Source organism: Homo sapiens, chromosome X, assembly GCF_000001405.40.
Source record: "Homo sapiens chromosome X, GRCh38.p14 Primary Assembly".
NCBI classification, from domain to species: Eukaryota; Metazoa; Chordata; class Mammalia; order Primates; family Hominidae; genus Homo; species Homo sapiens.
In genome coordinates this window covers 24,800,904-24,821,731 of record NC_000023.11, presented here as the reverse complement: position 1 = coordinate 24,821,731, position 20,828 = coordinate 24,800,904, and the positions used below count along the sequence as shown (strand labels likewise).

Genomic DNA, 20,828 nt, shown 5'->3' with positions numbered 1-20,828 from the left:
ACCTCTAATGTTTTTTAAATGCTATGAAACTAACCAGACTTTACAACATCAATTATTGGGGAGAATGCTAAATAAGACACTGTGGTAATTTGGATTTTACTTTCAGTTCTTAAGAGGTGTCAGAGTCTTACGAATGTCAATAGTTTACCTGACAGATGACATATGACACAGTATCTCCAGCTTTCACCTTTCTGCCTCCTTGAGAATTTATCCAGAGGGCAACATGTACATGAGGTAGGCTTTTTTTATCAGGGTAATCCTGGGGATCCTTTGTCAATGCCTAAAAGAGGGAACAAAAAAGTTCTAAGCCTTAAAATAAAACCCTTCTTACACAGATATACACTAAAAACATCTTTGCTAGAATCATACTAGCCACATAAACATAAAAAATGACAGAAGCTGTATGTAGAAAATATTGCTACAGAATCTTTAAACATCCCATCTTCAAGACTCCTCTCTCCTTTGTTCAATAACTAACATAACCAGATGCAACCCCAACAAAAAAGAAATATAAGTTAATGGGCCATATCACATGATACTTAGACATAAAAAGTTAAGACTATAAATTCAGTGTTATATGCAGTCTTAATGTGTGCAATTATCTCACTGAGTTAACTGATCAGTTGGGACTGATGAATAATGGCTACTCTGACTTAATGATTGTTTCTCAAAGGCTCCTCTGGCCTTAATAAATCCCAAAGGCACTAGAAATCACTGGATTTACTCATGCTGTCAATCAACCTCTACAGAGGTAGAATGAATTTGTAACAGAAAGTAAGTACTACGAGAACAGGAACAATGTCAGCCTTGCTCACAACTGCATGCACAGTGTTCCTAACGATGCTTGATATACAGTAGCAGCCAAATATTTGCGGAATAAATTATTTCACTCCATCTGTAATAATTCTCAGAATAATTTGTTCCAGTATTATAAAGTACCACAGGATGAATAAGACACAGTCATCTGCTATTAGTGGAAGACTCTCTACCCTCCACCTCCCCTCCAAAAAAAAAAAAAACCTCTAAAATAAGCTATATGTGCCATAAAGGAGATGTGAACAAAGTGTTATGGAGAGAACTTAGAAAGGTAAGAATGATTTCCACCTGAGAGAAGAAATCATGGAAGAAAAAACTAAGCTGGCACTAGAAGGAAAAGCAAGATTTTAAGAAAAGGTAATGGGGGCAAGAATATTCCAGGCAGAGAAACAAACAAAAAGGCAAAAGGTGAGAAAAAAACGCATTCTATTAGACTGGAACTCAGTATGCATAAAGAAAAGGAGGGGGATACCCAGCCCTGGAAGGGGTAGGTTTCAAAAGACAAGAGAAAGGATGGGGACCAGGGTACTGCTGGATGAGCTCACCCGTTCTCAAAGTGTGGACTGCAGAGCCCTGGGAGTTCCTGATATCCTTTCAGGGGGTCCAGAGATCAAAACTATTTTCATAACGATACTACCTGTACTGATGATACAGAAGCAATAGTGGGCAAAACTGCTGATGCCTTATAAACATGAATCAGGATGGTACTATCAAACTGTACTAACAGTCACTGTATTCTTCACCACCATGCATAGTTAAAAAAAAACACTTTCACTTAAGAATGTCCTTGATGAAACAGTAAGAATTATTTTTAAAGCTCTCAATAGCAAAGACTTGGAACCAACCCAAATGCCCATCAATGACTGACTGGATAAAGAAAATGTGGCACATATACACCATGGAATACTATGCAGCCATAAAAAAGAGTGAGTTCATGTTCTTTGCAGGGACATGGATGAAGCTGGAAACCATCATCCTCAGCAAACTAACACAGGAACAGAAAACCAAACACCGCATGTTCTCACTCATAAGTGGGAGCTGAACAAAGAGAACACATGGACACAGGGAGGGGAACATCACACACTGGGGTCTGCCGGGGAAGTAGGGAGGAAGGGGAGGGAGAGCATTAGGACAAATATCTAATCCATGCAGGGCTTAAAACCTAGATGACGGGTTGATAAGTGCAGCAAACCACCATGGCACATGTGTACCTATGTAACAAACCTGCACGTTCAGCACATGTATCCCAGGATTTAAAGTAAAATAAAACAAAACAAAAAAAAACAGCTCTCAACCCTTGAGTACAAGTCTACTATTTTGTGAGATAAAACAAAGTACACACAAGGCACATCTGAAAAACAAAGATTGCTCAAGGGAAAGCATTTGTGCAACTGTTTGAGTTGCAAGCTAAACTAGCTGCCTTTTTCACAGAATATAATTTTTACTTGAAAGAATAATGGGCAAACTACTGTTATTCTGACTTGGGTATCTGGCAGACAATTTCTCAAAAAAAAAGTGAGCCTGCCACTTCAAGGCAAAAAAAAAAAAATCTGACAGTATATATTGTCAATGATAAAATTCAAGCTTTCAAGTGCAAATTAGAATTTTAGAAAACTTTTCTACTTCTGTGAGCCGGAAAGCTTCCCAATACTTAAAAACTTTTCTGATATAAGTACGAATATTTTAAAACGTAATTTTTGATATTGTACAATGAATGTGTCTATTTTGGAGTATACTGTATAATTCAGGGAACCAACATTTAACAAATGATCAACTCATGCCACGCATGGGTAAAATATTCTTTCAAAGTACAACAGAGACCAACAGATTTTAATATAAGAGAACAGGAAAAGTTCATTGATATGGCTTCAGATTCCACATTACGAAGAAAATACCATCTGTAGACGTCTGGTGCAGGATCAAAGAAGAATACATTCAACTATCAGAAAAAAAATACTAAAATACTTCTCCTTTTTCTAACTACATGTTTGGGTTAAACTGGATTTCTTCCTATACTCCATCCCAAACCACATGTCACAACAGATTGTATGCAGAAGCAGAAATGAAAACCCAGATGTCGTCTACTGAGCTAGACATTAAAGAGATGTGCAAAATTGTAAAATGATACCACTCCTCAGGCTAAATTTTTCTTTGTTTTGAAATATATAGCTATTTTTCATAGAAAGAAATGCTATTTGTTGTAATTATATAATCAGTTTGTTGCTATTTTTAAATAAATTAACAAATGTTTTTAGATTTCTAACACACTAAATATCGAGATAAACCACATCAACACGAGCTCTTGGGGTCTTCAATTATTTTAAGAGTATAAAGGTGTCCTAAGACCAAGAAATCTGAGAACTGATGTAGAAGAATAAAGCAGGTCCTCAAACATGGCTGCACATGCCCAAGTTATGTAAACTTACTAAATTCCATACTCAGGGTAGCAGAGTGCCTAGGAAACTCTCCCAAGTATTTGAATCTCCTCAAACTTGGAATACGTGAAGTTTTGATTGTCTTGGACAAGCAATACAATATAAAAATCTTAACTGATATAACAGTACTTAAGAAATCCATTATCTTCTTCAATGGATTATTCTTCAGTGCAATGTTAAGAAATTCTAAATTTCAGCTGACATACTTTCCAATTATTAGATGTAGGCTATTTGGGGACTTTACAAGCTAGTTTTAGAAGGCTTCATTTAAAAAAAAAAAAATGCTTCCTGGTGGTTTAGGCTCAAGTTAGCCAGAGCTATAAAAATCAGCTGCAAAGTATTTTGTGTTACTTTGTGAAATATATTTAAGCTAAGATTGCAGTAGTTCAGCAAAATCACACATGCTGTTTTTCAGTTGCTTTTGGCAACACGGGCTAAAATCTCTAAAGGTAAATCCCATCACTTCATGCATGTCTCCACCCTAATTTAACCTGTCATTTTCAAGCCCTACCAGCATCACCTAAAAAAAAAAAAAAAAAAAAAAATATTGTCATGAGACCATCCACAACCAGTCACATACATAGACTCTTCCATTCCACTCTCCTTTCGAAGCAGTAAAATGTAGAAACTGAATAGCTCACAAGTTTTAAATAGTGCAAGCATTTAGACAAATGTTAAAGATGTTCAGGATATATCACCTTTAACAAATGAATAGCTTACTGTAAATAGATACAGAACTACAATAAAGATAGCCCTTTCATCAGAATTTACTGTACTTGCATCAACACTGCAGAAATTCTTCTCTATTAAATGAAAGTTAAGAATAATGGGACAGTAAATACATTTTTCTTTTCTTTTTTTTTTTTTTTTTTTGAGATGGAATCTTGCTCTGTCGCCCATGCTGGAGTGCGGTGGCGCCATCTCAGCTCACTGCAATCTCCGTTTCCTGGGTTCAAGCGATTCTCCTGCCTCGGCCTCTTGAGTAGCTGGGATTACAGGCGCCTACCACCTCACCCAGCTAATTTTTTATTTTTTAGTAGACACAGGGTTTCACCATGTTGGTCAGGCTGGTCTTGAACTCCTGACCTCGTGATCCACCCGCCTCAGCCTCCCAAAGTGCTGGGATTACAGGCACAAGCCACCGCGCCCGGCCGACAGTAAATACTTTTAATAGACCACCAGCATCTTGAAAATATGGACCACGTATTCCTTATTCAACTTTATATCCCAGAATCAGCATTGTGTACATAAGAGGTACTCCATGTTTGCTGAATGGATGATTAAATAAGCAAATGAATTCTTTCAATGCTTACTGAACAACTACTACTTGCCAACAGCTATGCTAAGTGATATGGAGAATATAAAGACAGTAAGTCACAGTTTCAGTTCTGCCACAGAAAAATCTATTCACAGCCCCTATCATACTAGACACTAAGTATTAACTATTATTGTTAATAATAGAATGTCACTATAAGTTGATAATTATTGAAGCTGACTAATGAATACATGAGGATCCATGATACCATGCTCTCTACTTTTACATAAGTCTAGAAATTTCAATAATAAAAACTTAAAAGAATGCAGACACTGTCAGTATACCTATGACTCTAAGTTTCTTTTTGCACACTAGTAATATTGTGTCATCATTCATATGAGGGGGTTACAGTGTGGGCCCACTACCCTAAAGGAGATGTGTTCAGTGTTATTTTGCCAATTATGCAGTCATGCTAGGACTGACACTCCCAAACTCATCCCTGGAAGCCCTTGTGATAGAAACCCAAGTTTCTAGGAAGGTAGACAGGATCAGGGATACAATATGCAGAATTGATGCAAAAACTGACCAAAAGAAGTCTTAAGTCGTAACTCTTACTCATATAAATTTTTGAGAAAGAAAACAAAATCTAAAAGGAATCTACTTTCTAGATGACACAGTGATTCCATGCCAATATGTGTACACTTCATCACTTAAAGTGGAGAGCCAGTGACAAGAAACATTGTCCCCTTCTAATGTATAAACAAATGTCTTCTTTCATGACATTAAGGATGCCATAGTCAAGGTACAGGAAACAACTTACCTAAGAATAAACATAAACTGTAAGAAAATATTCATCCCTTCTAGGAATCAAAGAAATGCAAATTCAATGCAACTGTGAAATACAGTTTCATATTCATTATGGTAGCAAAGTTTTATTTAAATATCATCACCACTACATGCAAAACTGTGGTGAAACTGGCATATTTTGCTATTATCAATTGGTATCATCCTTTTACAAAGCAATTTGGCAAAAGCCATACAGATATTCACATCTTTTGACTCAAATATTTTCCTTCAAGGAACCTAAAATAAGAAAGTAATTCATCCAAATGCAAAAAGATAAATAAACAAAGATGTTCAATAGAGTTATTTATAATAGAAAACATTAAATAATCAACAAATTTAAATAAAGATGTATCAGTGAAACAGATACATCTTTTTAATACACTGATTAATTTGATTTTTAAGGTAATATAAAAATGTGGGAAAATGTTTATGTTAAATGAAAATATATTTCTAAATAACACTGTAATTGCTGCAATATAAAAATGTTTTCAACAGTACAGAAATGTGCAAAAATGACAAGCATTACATTAGCACAGAGTACTATGAATGAGTCTTCATTCTAAAACTTCCATTTACTGTCAGCATTAGATTCTTTTATTTTTTTTGTATGCACTTTGACAACGAAATCTACCACAAAATGGGTAGCATTGTATTTGCAAAATTAGCTTCTGAATATATAAGGGTACTAAAATGGGAATAAATTTGTAACCTAACATTTTGTTTATTACACAATACTTTGGAAACCAAGATTCTGTTTTTCAAATTAGGTAAGAAAAAATATTCCCTATTTTCAACAACTAAGACTGTCCCTAAATAACTTTTGTCCCCAAAAGAATCACCATCTGTGAAGTTAAACACACACATGAATGCACACATGCACACAATAAGCTTACAGGCCTACACTCCAAACAACTATTACTTAGGGGAACTATGAAGAAAGTAGTGTTCTCCAGTCCTATGGAGTGATACAGTGATATCACTCCATAGGACCTCTGGAATGTAAACTGTATCACTCCATAGGACCTCTGGAAACAAGTCTTCCAAGAATTAAAGTAAGGACTAGACAGAGAAGGTCTCTGTGGCAGACATGGCAGTACCTGTGGCTGGAAGAGGTATGCTAATACTCAATCTGTGAGATAGTTGTTAAGCAGCTTTCATCACCAGCTAGAATTTATTTCAATTGCAAGGATGAGGTGGTTCTTCAACTATCTGAAGGAGGTGAAAAACACATGACAGCAGCTGGGCTCAGCAATAAATGCTACATTTACCTTGTTAATTTCAAACTGGCTCACTGGGACACTGCCATTTAGCACATTTTCTCCAATTTCTATCAGCCTCTTCTGAATGTTTTCCACTATAGTGTCCCGGCTTTGATCAGAAAGAATCTGGCCAATCACAAAGCTGCAAAAAAAAAAAAAAAAACAAAACAAAGACAGCAGTTGATTTTTTAATATATTTTACTAGTAAAGGAGAAGAAGGAAGAGAAATGCCATTAGATTAACATGTGGTTAACATTAGCTACAGTAAGAGCTAATATGAGGGTTAATGTCGAAAAGGCGGTTACTATTTGTTTTTTAACACCAACTCTACCGAAAGTTTGCCAGCCTTCTAATGTGGGGTTTGACCCTAAACATACAGATCATTTTTTATGTGGCAGCTAATATTTTATATAAAATGTGAAGAAAAGCATGTGTTCCATTATATTTTTATGCAATTACAAAATTCACAAGCAGTTATATTCTCCTCATAAGATAAAATTTTAGAAGACAAATATTTCACTTTCCTCACAAAGCACCAAGACATTATCTCTGATATCAAGATATCATCTCCACCTGAGACAACAACCATGCGCTAGATGAGTAGAAATATGAAGTCCTTTACATAAATTTTTTTAAAAAACAAAGATTTCAAACTTTTCTTTCTTCACCTTCATTTTGTTGCTCAGTGTTCTCCCTTACGCTATTCCTTAAAAACTTCATGTTATTCAACCAGACCCAAAGGAAAAAGAAAAAGGAAAGGAGTAAGAAAGCCAATATTTTATCCATTTCTGAGAAAATGCAGAGCGAGAGTTTGACAGCTGCATTATAATTTGCCAGAAAAAGAACCCCGACAAAAACATTTGTATAGCTTTAATTACTAATACATTTCTAACTCAAGAGAAATTTACTTCTATTATGATGCGTCTTTTCTTAGAAAACACAAAGCTGAAGAGAACACTCTAATCCACAGTCCATACAAAGTACTTTCCTCTTTGGGTACACTTGGGGGCAATGAAGCATTTCAAACATTTTTACATTTGGTAAAAGGCTCACAGTGACCTATACTCAGCTGGTCAACTTTGCCTAATCAAGAATAGTTTTGCAGAAGCAATAATTGTTCAATCTCCCAACTTGATAGCAAGAGGAAGACTAGAAAACAAGTTTATAAATGCCAACATTCAGAATATTAAAATTGATGTGAACTTTAGCTTTAAATAAAAAATTCTTCTACTTTCAGAATTGGTCAAGGTCACAAATTAAGACGGTACATGAAGCACCTAAAAATTCTTTTTTTTTTTTTTTTTTTTTTGACGGCGTCTCACTTCTTTGCCCAGGCTGGAGTGCAATGGTGCAATCTCGGCTCACTGCAACCTCCACCTTCAAGGTTCAAGCGATTCTCCTGCCTCAGCCTCCCCAGTAGCTGGGATTACAGGCATGTGCCACCACGCCTGGCTAATACTTGTATTTTTAGTAGAGACGGGGTTTCCCCAAGTTGGGCAGGTTGGTCTCCAACTCCTGACCTCAAGTGATCTTCCCGCCTCGGCCTCCCAAAGTGCTGGGATTATGGGCGTGAGCCACTGCACCCGGCCTAAAAATTCATTTTGAAATGGGTGCTTTATACATTAATATGACCCTTAAAGAAGCAGGCCTTATTATCACATTCTTCAGTCTCAGGTGCAAAGCTAGGAGGTCAATCATGATATTTACTAATTCTGAGGTACACACAGGATTTGAGAAGGAGCCCTTAACTTGGTATTAGTAAGAATCTTTTATATACAAATCATACGGGTGGGAACAAAGTCTCACTCCATGGCCCATTTTGAGTCCCAGAACATTTTAAGCCATAAAATGGGAAAATCTTAACAATTATGTCCCTCAAGAGGCTCTAGGAAGATTCAGGAGCACAAAACAAGGCACTTTCTAATAGCAACAATAGAGCAAAACAAACCAACATCAACGAAACCAACTCTATAAGGATCTGAAGTGTGAAGGTTTACCCTTACTATGAGTTAAAAACTCATGAGACGTATCTTAGAGCAGGCATTTCTCACTGAGCAAATTTGGCTTTTTCTAAGTTTTAATCTACCTATAAAATTCCATTCCAAATAAGAATGATTAATAATTCTTATTAATAAGAATAATAAAAATAACAAAGAAGTGTTCTTGGGCTTGACAGATTCATAAGCATTCTCTACATCATTCACACCTGAATTTTTAAAAGACAAACAAGAAAAGCAAAACTGAAAGCTGAACTCACTTTCCAGTGTCTTTAGCAAGATCACACCAATCTCTTCTAACTATATCTAATCCTTTGAGCTCCTGTTTGGTGACATAATTCCCATCCGACGTTGGCTCAACAACCAGAGCAGCGTACTTCTTTTTTTTCAGCAGTAGCAGAGACTTGAAAACCCCATCAATGTCTATTTCAAGCAGTTTGTACAACTTATTCACTTCACTTTTTACCTGTGAAAATTTCAAATATTAGTATTAGCTTCTCAAACATCTAATAGGGAGAAGATGAACATGTTACAAATTCCCAAGAGTTAATCTAAACAGAATTTGAAGTCATACAACATTGGAATTTTACTTGGCTTGTATGTAACATGATATTACATTGGGTATAAAGCAAAGACATTGAAAACTGCAGGGACAAAAATAGATTAAAAAAAAGAGAGAGAGAGAGACAATAATAGATCATCCCATGCAACCAAAGGACAGGACTGGCTGGATCAGCCCCAGGTAATATATGAAAATTATGAAACAGTCCTTGTTGAATGTAAAGACTTAATGCATACATACAGTACTTGCCTTCAAACTATTCAGTTAGTTAGTGAATAGACAGTCCAACAACTAAATATGTGACCAGAAATAAAGAAGTCAAACTTTGACTATTAAAATAATGTTTAAGACCTCCCTTAACACCTTGACTATAAGCAAACAACTACATGCTGAACAAATAAAGAGTCCTCTGCTCTTTCTGACAGGGTCAAGGCACAGAACATCACCTCCAGGGAAAATACTCAACTTTTCAAGGCCCAGTATGAGCACAATGTGCCAGGCTTGCTGTCAAGTGAAGACTACCATTCAAATTCCACATATTCCAGGAGGGAAAGATAGGAAGTTGTTAGTTTGTAAGATGACATCTTAGTTTTAGTTCATGGGGACAACATCTTAACATAGCAAGTGTTTCTAAAACACTGTGAATTGCGATTGCAAATTGCTATTAAGAGGCTACAAATGATTATTTTTAAATGTCCCCTTGACTTTTCAAATATATTTTAAGTACTCCTGTAAAAATCACAGTTGTGAGTGTATATGTATGTATGTAGGTATTTATGTATAAAATGCACCTGAATCCTACCAGACATATGAATCACAATGTAGTAAGTACTAACGTGAACACATCTTAAACATATAACACTTAGACTGTTTTCAAAGGAAAAATGTATCTACCATTTAAAGAAAAAAAAAAAAAAAACCTTTGAATTTCACCCTCGAAACAAACAGCTGGAATAGGAATTAAAAACAAGAGGGGGCCAGGCGCGGTGGCTCATGCCTGTAATCCCAGCACTTGGGAGTCCAAGGCAGGTGGATCACAAGGTCAGAAGATCAAGACCATCCTGGCCAACATGGTGAAACCCCGTCTCTACCAAAAATACAAAAATTAGGGGGGCGTGATGGTGCATGCCTGTAATCCCAGCTACTCAGGAGGATGAGGCAGTAGAATTGCTTGAAGCAGGGAGTCAGAGGTTGCAGGGAGTCGGAGGTTGCAGTGAGCCGAGATCACGCCACTGCACTCCAGCCTGGCCACACAGCGAGACTATGTGTCAAAACAAACAAACAAAACAAAACAAGACGAAAAAAAAAAAAAAGAGGATTGGGCATGGTGGCTCATGCCTGTAATCCCAGAACTTTGGGAGGCTAAGGTGGGAGGATCGCTTGAACCCAGGAGTTCAAAACCAGCCTGGGCAAAAAAAATCTCTACAAAAAAAATTGTTTTTTAATTAGCTGGGCATGGTGGCGAGTGCCTGTGGTCCCAGCTACTCGGGAGGCTGAGGCGGGAGGATCACTTCAGCCCAGGAGGTCAACGCTTCAGCAAGCCCTGATCGCACCACTGCACTCAAGCCTGGGTGACAGAGTGAGACCCTGTCTCAGAAAAAAATAATAAAGAAAGACAGAAAAATAGAAGAATTGAGAGACACCAAGTTTATTATTTTCAGAAGCACACACATTCATATACACATGAATTTATAGTGTTCCATGTTAGAAACAGAATTCACAAAAATAGGTAAAGCAGATAATTTCATAAAATTATCTCACCTTGTTTCCCAACTTAAATACTTCTTCCAGATTGGTGCTATTGGTGTTTATCATAATTGAATCTGTATCTCCATAAATAACTTCAAGATTCATCTGATGAAAAGCAAAAATTATAAAAATTAACAAAAACACAGTGACCATTACATACAATGAAACTAAAGATTTTCCATACTACAGAAATTACAGGCTCCACAGACTTTTCAAAAGTTTATGTTAATTATTATTTATATTGTCAGGGTATACAATTAAAGATTAAGCCCCTATAAACCAGAAAGGCAAGCAACCTGACATCAAGAAAATCTCTCAAATTTTCTTAAAATAGAGAGTGGAGTGGAAGGAGAATTGTGTCTAGTTTCAACTGAAACAAAATACCAAATTAAATAATGAGAAAAAAGAGAATAAAAGACTAGGAAATGGGGTCTATATTTATCCACTGTACCACATGCTTAGTGGTCATGGCAATTTAAGAAGCGGAAACATAATGGATTCTATAAATTCAGGGGCACAAATCCATATTAAATTCTTAATACAGTTGCAAACAGTATTTAGTAGAACACGAAGAGTGCCAAAAAAAATCAATCATAACAAACAACACTAGAGCACATACAGTATAAAGGCCTGGAAATAAACTCTAATTAGCACTGTTACTAATTTGTTTGAAACACTCACATATAGGCTTCAAGCAGGGGCTAGATCATATCAGCACTGGTAAAAGAAAAAAGCTGTAATCCATTAGGAAGGATTATAAATGTTAAACTAGGCAACCTAAGAAGCAATTTCCAGTCTGTTTGGGTTACAATTTTCCTTGAATACAAAAACGTTACCAGTTATGATATTTAAGTTTTACACAATGAAAATGCTCAACATTACCTTTTGTACCATCTCTTTCGTATGCATCAAAATCTAAATGAAACAAAAGTCAAGATTAATAAGTTACACAATTATAAAGACATAAATAGAAGCACATAGAGATAGGTAACTTTCAATGATTTGCCATTTCCATGTATTTCTAAAGCTCTTGAAGGTTTTCTAACAACAGCCCTTAAAATAACAGTAACATCAATATAATCTAAGTTTGCCTCTATGCTGATTCTGAGCCAGAGATATGCATGCATATATATACATATATATGTTTAACACACACACAATAAAATATCTCTATAACATGGCAAAAAAGCAAACTATTCTCATTACTAATACTTAAATAGAACTGCATGCCTAAAAAAAGCTTAACAAAGCATTTCAAATCTGGCAATTCTTATTCATGGTATTCAGGATCTTAAAAAGCAAAAAAAAGCACACTACATTTAAAATTCTTCTCTAGACTAAATTCATTGAAGAAAGAGAGTAGATGGATTTTCACTATATTGCCTGGAGCTACCCCAGTACCCAGTAAAAAGGTGGGGCTCAAGAAACATTCAGTGAATTAAGACGAACGTGGATATCTGTTGATAAGTCTGTCCCCAGGCCCATATAGCTACAGATCAGAGATATTTAGGTTACAACGTGGATAGAAATAAAAACTGATATAAATTATTTTGAGCCAGATCAGAAGTAACACATATTTAACAAACAGCCTCTTAAAAAATAGTAATATGACATAATTAGGACTCAGAGAGAAAGTGTGTGTGTCGGGGGGGGCGTTTAAAATACATGTGCTAGATGCTGTGCAAGGAACACCTTGTGCATTTTCTCATTTCATTCCCCTAGATCTCCAAGGGGTAGCTACTATTAATATCCTCTCTTGTTAGATGCCAAAAGACAAAGAGAAATTAGTGTCCTAGAATGACAAAACAAGGATATGAACCCAAGCATTCTGACTCGAGTATGGGGTCTTAGTCACTCCATGCTATTGCCTCTCTGCTATCACCCATCTTTCAAAGCATCAGCCTAAAGCTGAGGTCACCTTTCCAATAGACCAAATAAAGATTTACTTCATTTATATTTCTTTCTCCTACTTCAATAGTCCTCCTTGTCAACTAAGCTCAAGCTTCATGGTGTCATTTCTTTCTCGTCTTCCCTATTACAGAGCTTTGTAAATCCTGTCTTTAGAGTATCTTTTATATCTACCCATTACTTTCCATTTTTTATTGCCCTCTCCCCTTTATTACTATCTCCCAGTTTTGTTCAGATGTTCGTTGTATTAATATTATGTTCTTAGACAAGGAAGCCCTTTCTCCTACCTGGGGGGTGGTGAATGGTGGTGAATTCTGATGAGGCTAAGCCAGTGGTTTTAATACTGACTGTACAGTGGAATCACCTGGGGATCTTAAAAAAAAAAAAACAAACAATATCTGGCCCCAACAGTTTTCTTACATTTTCTTACATTGCAAGCTGGCTTAAGGACCATTGGCCTAAGATAATCATGGCAATTCCATTCTGGAAACTATGATCAGTTTAGGCGTGAGCATGTGAACAGAATCCTGGCCAATTAAACGTAAGGAGAATTCCTGTAGGATGCTTCTCTGAAAGGTTTTCCTTCCTGATTTGAGGGGGCAGGCGGTGGGGGACTACCTTTTTAGACTGAGGGCTGCTTGGAGCAGTGGCAACCATCACGGTGGCCATGAAGGGCCATGCCTAGGGTGCAAGCTAACATGCTGAGCAGGGCCGGCTGCAAGGTGGAAAGCGCCTGACTCCATAGCAATGAGGTTGTCACTGAGGATGAACCAACTCGCGTCTCTACTGGCTTTAGGTCTCATCAACTCACCCTGAATATCATTACCAATCTCCTGAATGTTTTCAATGCCTCTCCGATGCCTACAAGGTCAAGAACAAATTCTGCAACTGCACCTAAACCACTGTTCCACTTGTATGGCCTGTTATTCTTTTACATAGATCCTCTTGCTGGACAGAATAAATCTCCCAGTCTTCCAACAGTTAACTGTGTACAGACTCATCTTTTCATGCCTTCACTCATGCAGTGTGTCTCCTACCCGGAATTCCTTCCCCAGTCCTTTTCCTATCATTGAATTTTACAACCCTCGGCTCAAATCCTTCCTGCATGAGCTGACTGGCCCAGCCCATACCTGTCTCTCTCCTCTCATCTGTGTTTGAATTATTTTACTAGTACTTGAATGATGCTTTACGTTATTAGCTCCCACCTACCCACCCCAAACTAGACTACAAGCTCCTGGAGGTCAGACCACATGTTTGTGCCTAAGTGCAGACTTCACTGTAATAGGAACTCAAAAAACTGTTTGCCAGGTGACTGATAGGTCCTGTAGTAATCCCAATTACTTTTCCACTAGACACTAAAATTCAGCTAACATAAAAAACAGTCACTCTCCCCAACTTCATCTTCATTTTTTAACATTTAAATTATAGGGAAATGCATTGTGGGAGAATATTTGACAATTCCTTTAGGGAAAGGGCAATAATGAGACCAACCCAAGGCAAATTAATCACAGTGAGGACAGAATTACTTATCAAGAGTCCTCTTTACCCTCTGCCTCTTACAGTTAGCTAGGCTTAGCTTTCTTCATCACAATGGACAACACCATAACGTAACTGTTACCTCAATAAAATACCTGAGGAGCAGTTTGTCAACCTTTTACTACAACTCCACATATTCAATAACCAATTTCTTCTACTCTTGTTTCACAACATGAACCAAATCTACTATGTCATCCCTGAGTGTACCTTCAATGTGAACTGGCAACCTTCACCTTTCAGATCCATCATCCACCCCTACTCCATCCTGCCACCAACTCACAACCATTGCCATGCATAACCTGAGGACTGCTACCAAAACAATTTTCTCTTTGGTGGCAGAAATCTTTTGGTGGATGTCTTTTTTTGCAGAAATGGTAAACTATAGAGTATGCCGCAACTGCTTTTTTCACCTAGCACTTATCCTAGAGGTTATTTCAAATTCACACATAAAGAGCTGCCTTATTCTTTTCTAATGACTACATAGTACCCCACTGTATAAATAGAACATAATCTATTTAACTAGTGTTCTATTAATGAACATATAGGTTGTTTCTACTCTTTACTGTTACAACCATACTTCAACAAACAATCCCTATACATACGTAATTTACAAATCTGCCAGTAACAAGATAAATTACTACAAGTGGGTGTGCTGGGTCAAAGGTTGTTATGTTTCAAATTTTTAAAATAAATATAACCCAATAGCTCTCTATAGAGGTTGTACCGATTTCTGTGGACCTCACCATCTTTTCAGTGGGCCTCACTAGCAGCTGATGATAATGTTCCATCTCAGGTTCAAGGTCCTCACCACAGTTTGTCAACTCTTCAGCCCATTCTATACAAGACAACCCACAACCAGTCTGACCCCTAACCTCTCATGTTTCTTCACTAAGCAGTTCTAGATGGTGGGTATCACAGTGACCTCTCTAGTCCAATGCTTATCCAAGTGCTAATGAGCAGAAACACTCCAAAGCTGCCCTCAAGTCCAGCCCTCAATTCAAACTGCTCACTGGGGAGGGCTCAGATGTTATCTACTCAGGGAGCTACCAAATTCTTACTATCTACCAGAGGGCCTGGTACATGGGAGCTGTTAATAAATATTTATAGAATGCTAAGTGAATAATCCTAAGGGGTACACAGTATTATAAATCCCAACTGACAAATGAGGAAAATTAGGCTCTGAGATTTTGCCCAAAAGCTTGATCCAGAAGCTGGACTTTATGTTTCACTTTCTTTTCATTATGTCTCACTACCTTCTCAAAAAAAAAAAAAAAAAAAAAAAAAAAAAAAAAAAAAAAAAAAAAAAAAAAAAAAACCTCATACCACATAAATGTTCTAGAAGTCAACAATCAAACACTTATACATTACAGGTATTTTCCCCATTGAAGAAACACATTTTAAAAATAGCCACAAGTACCCAGAAAGGTCTACTAGACACAAGGTACAATGATTACAAGATGACCATTCATAAGTTCACTTTGAAGTGACAAGTGTAATATTAAAGCTGCCCATTCTGACAGAAAATCATTTTGTAAGTGCTAACGGCTAGAAAACAGGGCTATAAAGGCTTGCTAAATTCATTAATAAGGCAGTCTGCAGTTATCTGATTTCACAGCAACACCTGCATATTTATCTACTCATTACCAATTGGATGATGGAATTTTTTCAAGCACATTTCAAAAATCTGCCAACTTCAAGTATAAAAAAATAAACTTTGTGGTTAATTTTTCCCTTAACAAAGTACAGCTGTTGAGAATAATTGTTCAAGATCTTACCCTGTAATGTCAACTGCAGCAGAACAAAGAGTATTTAATTAGCAAATCTATCCAGTAATTCAACACCTATTATATAAAATGCCTTCGTGATTTTATTCAGGATAATTTGCTAAGAGGGTTATTACTGACATTCAGATGGAATTTAAAATTCCTACGCAAGTCGAGTCATAATAGCAGTAATGATCTCCCCAATCAGGAGACTCGGTGTCACACAAGGCTCTCTTGCAATGCAGCAGCCGATTTCCTGACTTCTTAATTCCTGGGCTCAGCTCAGTGAGAGCCCTTCACGCCGATATTTCAGTCAGCAATACATCTTTAATGGGACTCTATTAAAATAACTAGAACAAAAATGACTTTTTTTTGGTTAAAAAGAATGACAGCACTGCCATCATATCAATCATTGCAGGCTTTGCAGAACAGTGCCGTTAGGGGAAAAGAGGAGGGGGAAACAGGAAAGGGGTGGAGGTGGGGAGAGCAATAATTAAAATAATACGAAAAGGAATTTTAACCCCAGTCTGAGCTTCTGAAAGCTGGAAAAGGGTAGTGGGAACTAGAAAGGAAATTTAGATGTGTATCAAAAATTGTTTTCTAAAGAAAATAATGTGTTCATGAATATACCCACGATATGGTTTACTAAGCAGAAAGATGTTTTTTGTGTGTGCCAAGGTTAACAACAGCAACAACCTAAGACCAACTACTACTAAGATGTGTATTTGTAGGTTCTCCTAATAAGTTCAGGATAACACCTGAGTCTTTGTATCTTGTTAAAATAGAATACTGTTGTATCACAATGCATCCAAAGGTTATGAAATGTTTTTAGATGCTATTACAGACTAAAAGAGTATTTATTAATACTAAACAATAGAGAGAAAACACCAGCTTTCCACAGCTTAAAAAAAAAGTTTCAAGGTCCTATTCCGAAAACATGTCTACTATAGTATTACTTATTAACAAGAAACCCACTTTGGTGTATGATGCAGATATTAAACACAAAGAAAATCCTACAAGTTAAGAAAATGTTGAGTAAGGTGAAATTCTAAACAAATAATGCAAAAAGAGAATGACAACTGAAATCTCAATGGCTTTAGGATTCTTCCATTACCGATGATATAAAATTAGAAATAAACTGGAAATTAAACAATACATTAGCATAACAGGGGTAGTAAAATATAAATGGTTTTGAAGGCTAGGAAAGAGAAAGGCAGGTGAAATATTAATATAAATATTATGATATTTGATAATCCAACCATTACCTAAGCATTCCACATTCCAAATTTCAGCAACTGCCAAGCAGGACTCAGTGCTACTCAGTTCTCTCACTTGATGAACATTTATTTCCTCCTTATTCTATTAGATTGTCTTTTTCCTATTCTCTGTTATTCTTAGATTTGTGTCTTCCTCTAAAAATGTTCAAGAAATATGGGCTATGGATTTAATAAGCATGGTACTTTCTGTCTTCACTACTTAACACTTCTGTGATACTGGGCTACTTACTGCCTTTAAACCTTAGTTTTATTTTCTCTAATATTGGGGTGATATTACCACCTTGTTCCCTGAGCTAGGTAAGAATAAAAAGAACCACAGGCTTAAAAAGTGCTTTGCAAAGATAAAATGTTATACAAATATTCGTGCTTTTTTTTTTTTTTTTTTTTTTTTTTTTTTTAAGTCTAGGGTCTGAAATCAGAGCACTTGTTTAATCTGCCAATTACCAGCTAAGTGATTTGGGACCAAGTTGGTTTCCTTTTCTAGGTCTCAATATCCTCATTTATAAAATGAAGAGGTTGAGATTCCTCACAGGTCTAAAAATCTAGAATCCAACTTTGACATGTAGAAATGTCTCTTCATTATATTTGGTTGGTTTGTATTTCAATCACATTTACTTCTTCAGTATTAGGAAAAGGAAGTACTAGTGTACCTAACAAGGATAATTAGCGTTGTGAGGATATATTTCCATATTCTAGGTTGCTTTTGAGGGCTATGTGGTTGTAAAATAACTAGAAACACGTAAGTTCTCACAAGTTGTCTGGATACATCTTTATGCACTTAATGTGAGTGGGTACATTTAAAATACATAATAACATCCAACACCTGTTGAGATCTCTTTTCCACACTTCGGGGGTATATATACACATCTACATATATATCAAGATTTCTCAACTTCAGTACTATTAACATTTTAGGCTGAATAATTATTTATTATAAGGAGCTATCCTGTGTCTATTGCAGGATGTTTAGCAGCATCCCTAGCCCCTACCCACTAGATTTCATCAGTAGTATGAGTACACACATATGCCGTGTGCTCTCCTTCTCTCCAGCTGTGACAACCAAAATTGTGTCCAGATATTGTCAAGCACTTCCTAGGAAGAGCAAAACTGCACCGGTTGAGAATCAGTGATACACACTGATGACAGCGTTTTCTCTATCCAGGCACACATTCAACTGTTGGTCCCATAAGCATTCATTCTAAATCCCACCCATCTCCTCCAAACCCTTAACCAGCTCCAAACATGATAACTGGCCCCTCCAGAAACCTTCAACCAGAACCAAGGACTGGTTTCCTTTCTATCTTTTATTTTATTATTGTTATTTTTTTTTGAGATGGAGTCTTGCTCTGTCGCCCAGGCTGGGAGTGCAGTGGCACGATCTCGGCTCACTGCAAACTCTACCTTCCAGGTTCAAGCAATTCTCCTGCCTCAGCCTCCCGAGTAGCTGGTATTACAGGCAGGCGCCACCACGCCCAGCTAATTTTTGTATTTTTAATAGAGACGGGGTTTCACCATGTTGGCCAGGTTGGCCTGGAACTCCCGACCTCAGGTGAGCCACCTTCCTCGGCTTCCCAAAGTGCTGGGATTACAGGCATGAGCCACCACGCCTGGCCCCAAATGGTTTCCTTTCTAATCCAATGAGCCCACATATGCTACACTAACTATACTGCATCTTTCCAATGTGGCACCTTTTCTGCATTCCCATGTCCTTCCTTCAGACACCCATCACTCTCTTGGCCTACTTGTCTCTAGCATCACTACCTCCCAAGCCAATCTTCACACTTTGCCAGTGTTCTTTCTATAATAAAATGTACTTCTTGAAATAAAATTCAAACCCCTGAGCCTGTCCTTGAGACTCATCTAGTTGAGGCCTATCTCATCTTCTAACACTTCCTACATGCACCTTCAAACCAGCCCTCTCAAAATATTTTAGGTTCATTAAACAGGCTATGCTTTTCTTCTTGCTTCTGTGTTTTTACATGCTCTTTCCCCAAGTGGTTAAAAATGTGAGTTGAGAAGTTAGGCTGTGTGATGGTTAATTTTATGTGTCAACTTGGCTAAGTCACGGTACCCAGATATTTGGTCAAACACCAGTCTAGATGTCACTGTAAAGGTATTTTTTTAAAATGAGATTAACATTTAAATCAGTTGACTTTGAGTACAGCAGTATATCCACCACAGTGTGAGCGGGCCCCATCAAATCAGTTGATGGCCCTAAAAGGAAAAGACTGAGGTCTCTCAAGGGAGAACGAATTCTGCTGCAGACTGCTTTCGAACTGTAGCTGAAACATCAACTATTCCCTGGGCTGCCGGCCTGCCCTACAGATTTCAGACTTGACAGCCTCCACAATAAATGTCACACACACACACACACACACACACACACACACACACACACACACACCCACCCACCTCTCCTAGTGGCTCTGTTTCTCTGGAAAACCCTAATATAGGCTACCTGGGTTCAAAGCCTAATAGCACTGCTAATAAGCTGTGCGATGACCTCAGGCAAACAATATAACCTCTCTAACCTTCCAATTCCTCAACTGTAAAATGGAGATAGCAACTGAAGCTTCCTAATAGGGCTACTGTGAGCATTAAATTTAACGATGTATGTACTTTGTTTTGTATGGTCTCTGGGACATAAGAGCTCAATAAATGTTAGGGGTTATTATTACCTAACATCTACTTATTTCACAAGGAACTTAATACTGTCAGAAAAGCCTTCTCGAGACTCCCCAACCGAATGATATTAATGAATATCCTAGTCCTATGTATCCCCCAAAGTACTCTGTGCATACCACAACACACCACTCTCTTACAAAAGGTAAGATTAAGAGACCATAAGCAAATTATAGGCAGAGATCATATCATGGGCATTAAACCTAACGAAATGCCTGGCACAAAGTAATAATTCAATAAATATTTATTTTTTAGGCTCTAGTAAAAGGAGGAAAACTCCTAGTGGTCCAGCTTAAGAAGAGCAAACCATTATCGATCAGTAAGTGCATCTCCACAACAACAGGACCCTAAAGTTGGTTACAAAAAGCAGCAATTAAGCCCACACACAGTACACATTTAAATGCTGGCTTTTTCCATGCAAGAAATGAAGAGTGAATCAGTTTTGATCCCACCTTCAAACACAATGCATGTTATATAAACAAATATTCACTCAAGAGAAAAGAATTTCTATTCCAATGACAAAGGCCCATTAATTATAAACTTGACTATAAGTGTACCTCTCCCATACAACTATAGTTTCCAGATAAACTGATTTTGTTTTAAATCCTTAATTTACAACCTAGACCTTCTGGTAGCTCATGTATGAAGAATATAAAACACTGAATAAACAACAATTTCTGAAAGGCTTCTCCTCCCAAAAAGACAAATTTAATACGATTTATGAGTATCTCTCCATTATTGCC

The 20,828-nt window shown here is 37.1% G+C and overlaps 1 protein-coding gene across 14 annotated transcripts in view; it reads right to left on the bottom strand.

Annotated features, from left to right (window-relative positions):
- Positions 1-20,828, bottom strand: part of POLA1 (DNA polymerase alpha 1, catalytic subunit) — a 303,069-nt gene that overhangs the window by 175,255 nt on the left and 106,986 nt on the right. For all 14 annotated transcript variants that reach the window (NR_165483.1, NR_165482.1, NM_001440806.1 and 11 more), the window contains 5 exons: positions 11,802-11,834; positions 10,932-11,024; positions 8,869-9,074; positions 6,621-6,753; positions 149-280 (listed from right to left, as the gene is read on the bottom strand). Coding sequence is in view for 12 of the 14 variants with exons in the window: in NM_001440806.1 (NP_001427735.1) it covers positions 149-280; positions 6,621-6,753; positions 8,869-9,074; positions 10,932-11,024; positions 11,802-11,834 (597 nt within the window). In the remaining 2 variants the exon portion in view is untranslated. The remainder of the gene's footprint in view (positions 1-148; positions 281-6,620; positions 6,754-8,868; positions 9,075-10,931; positions 11,025-11,801; positions 11,835-20,828) is intronic.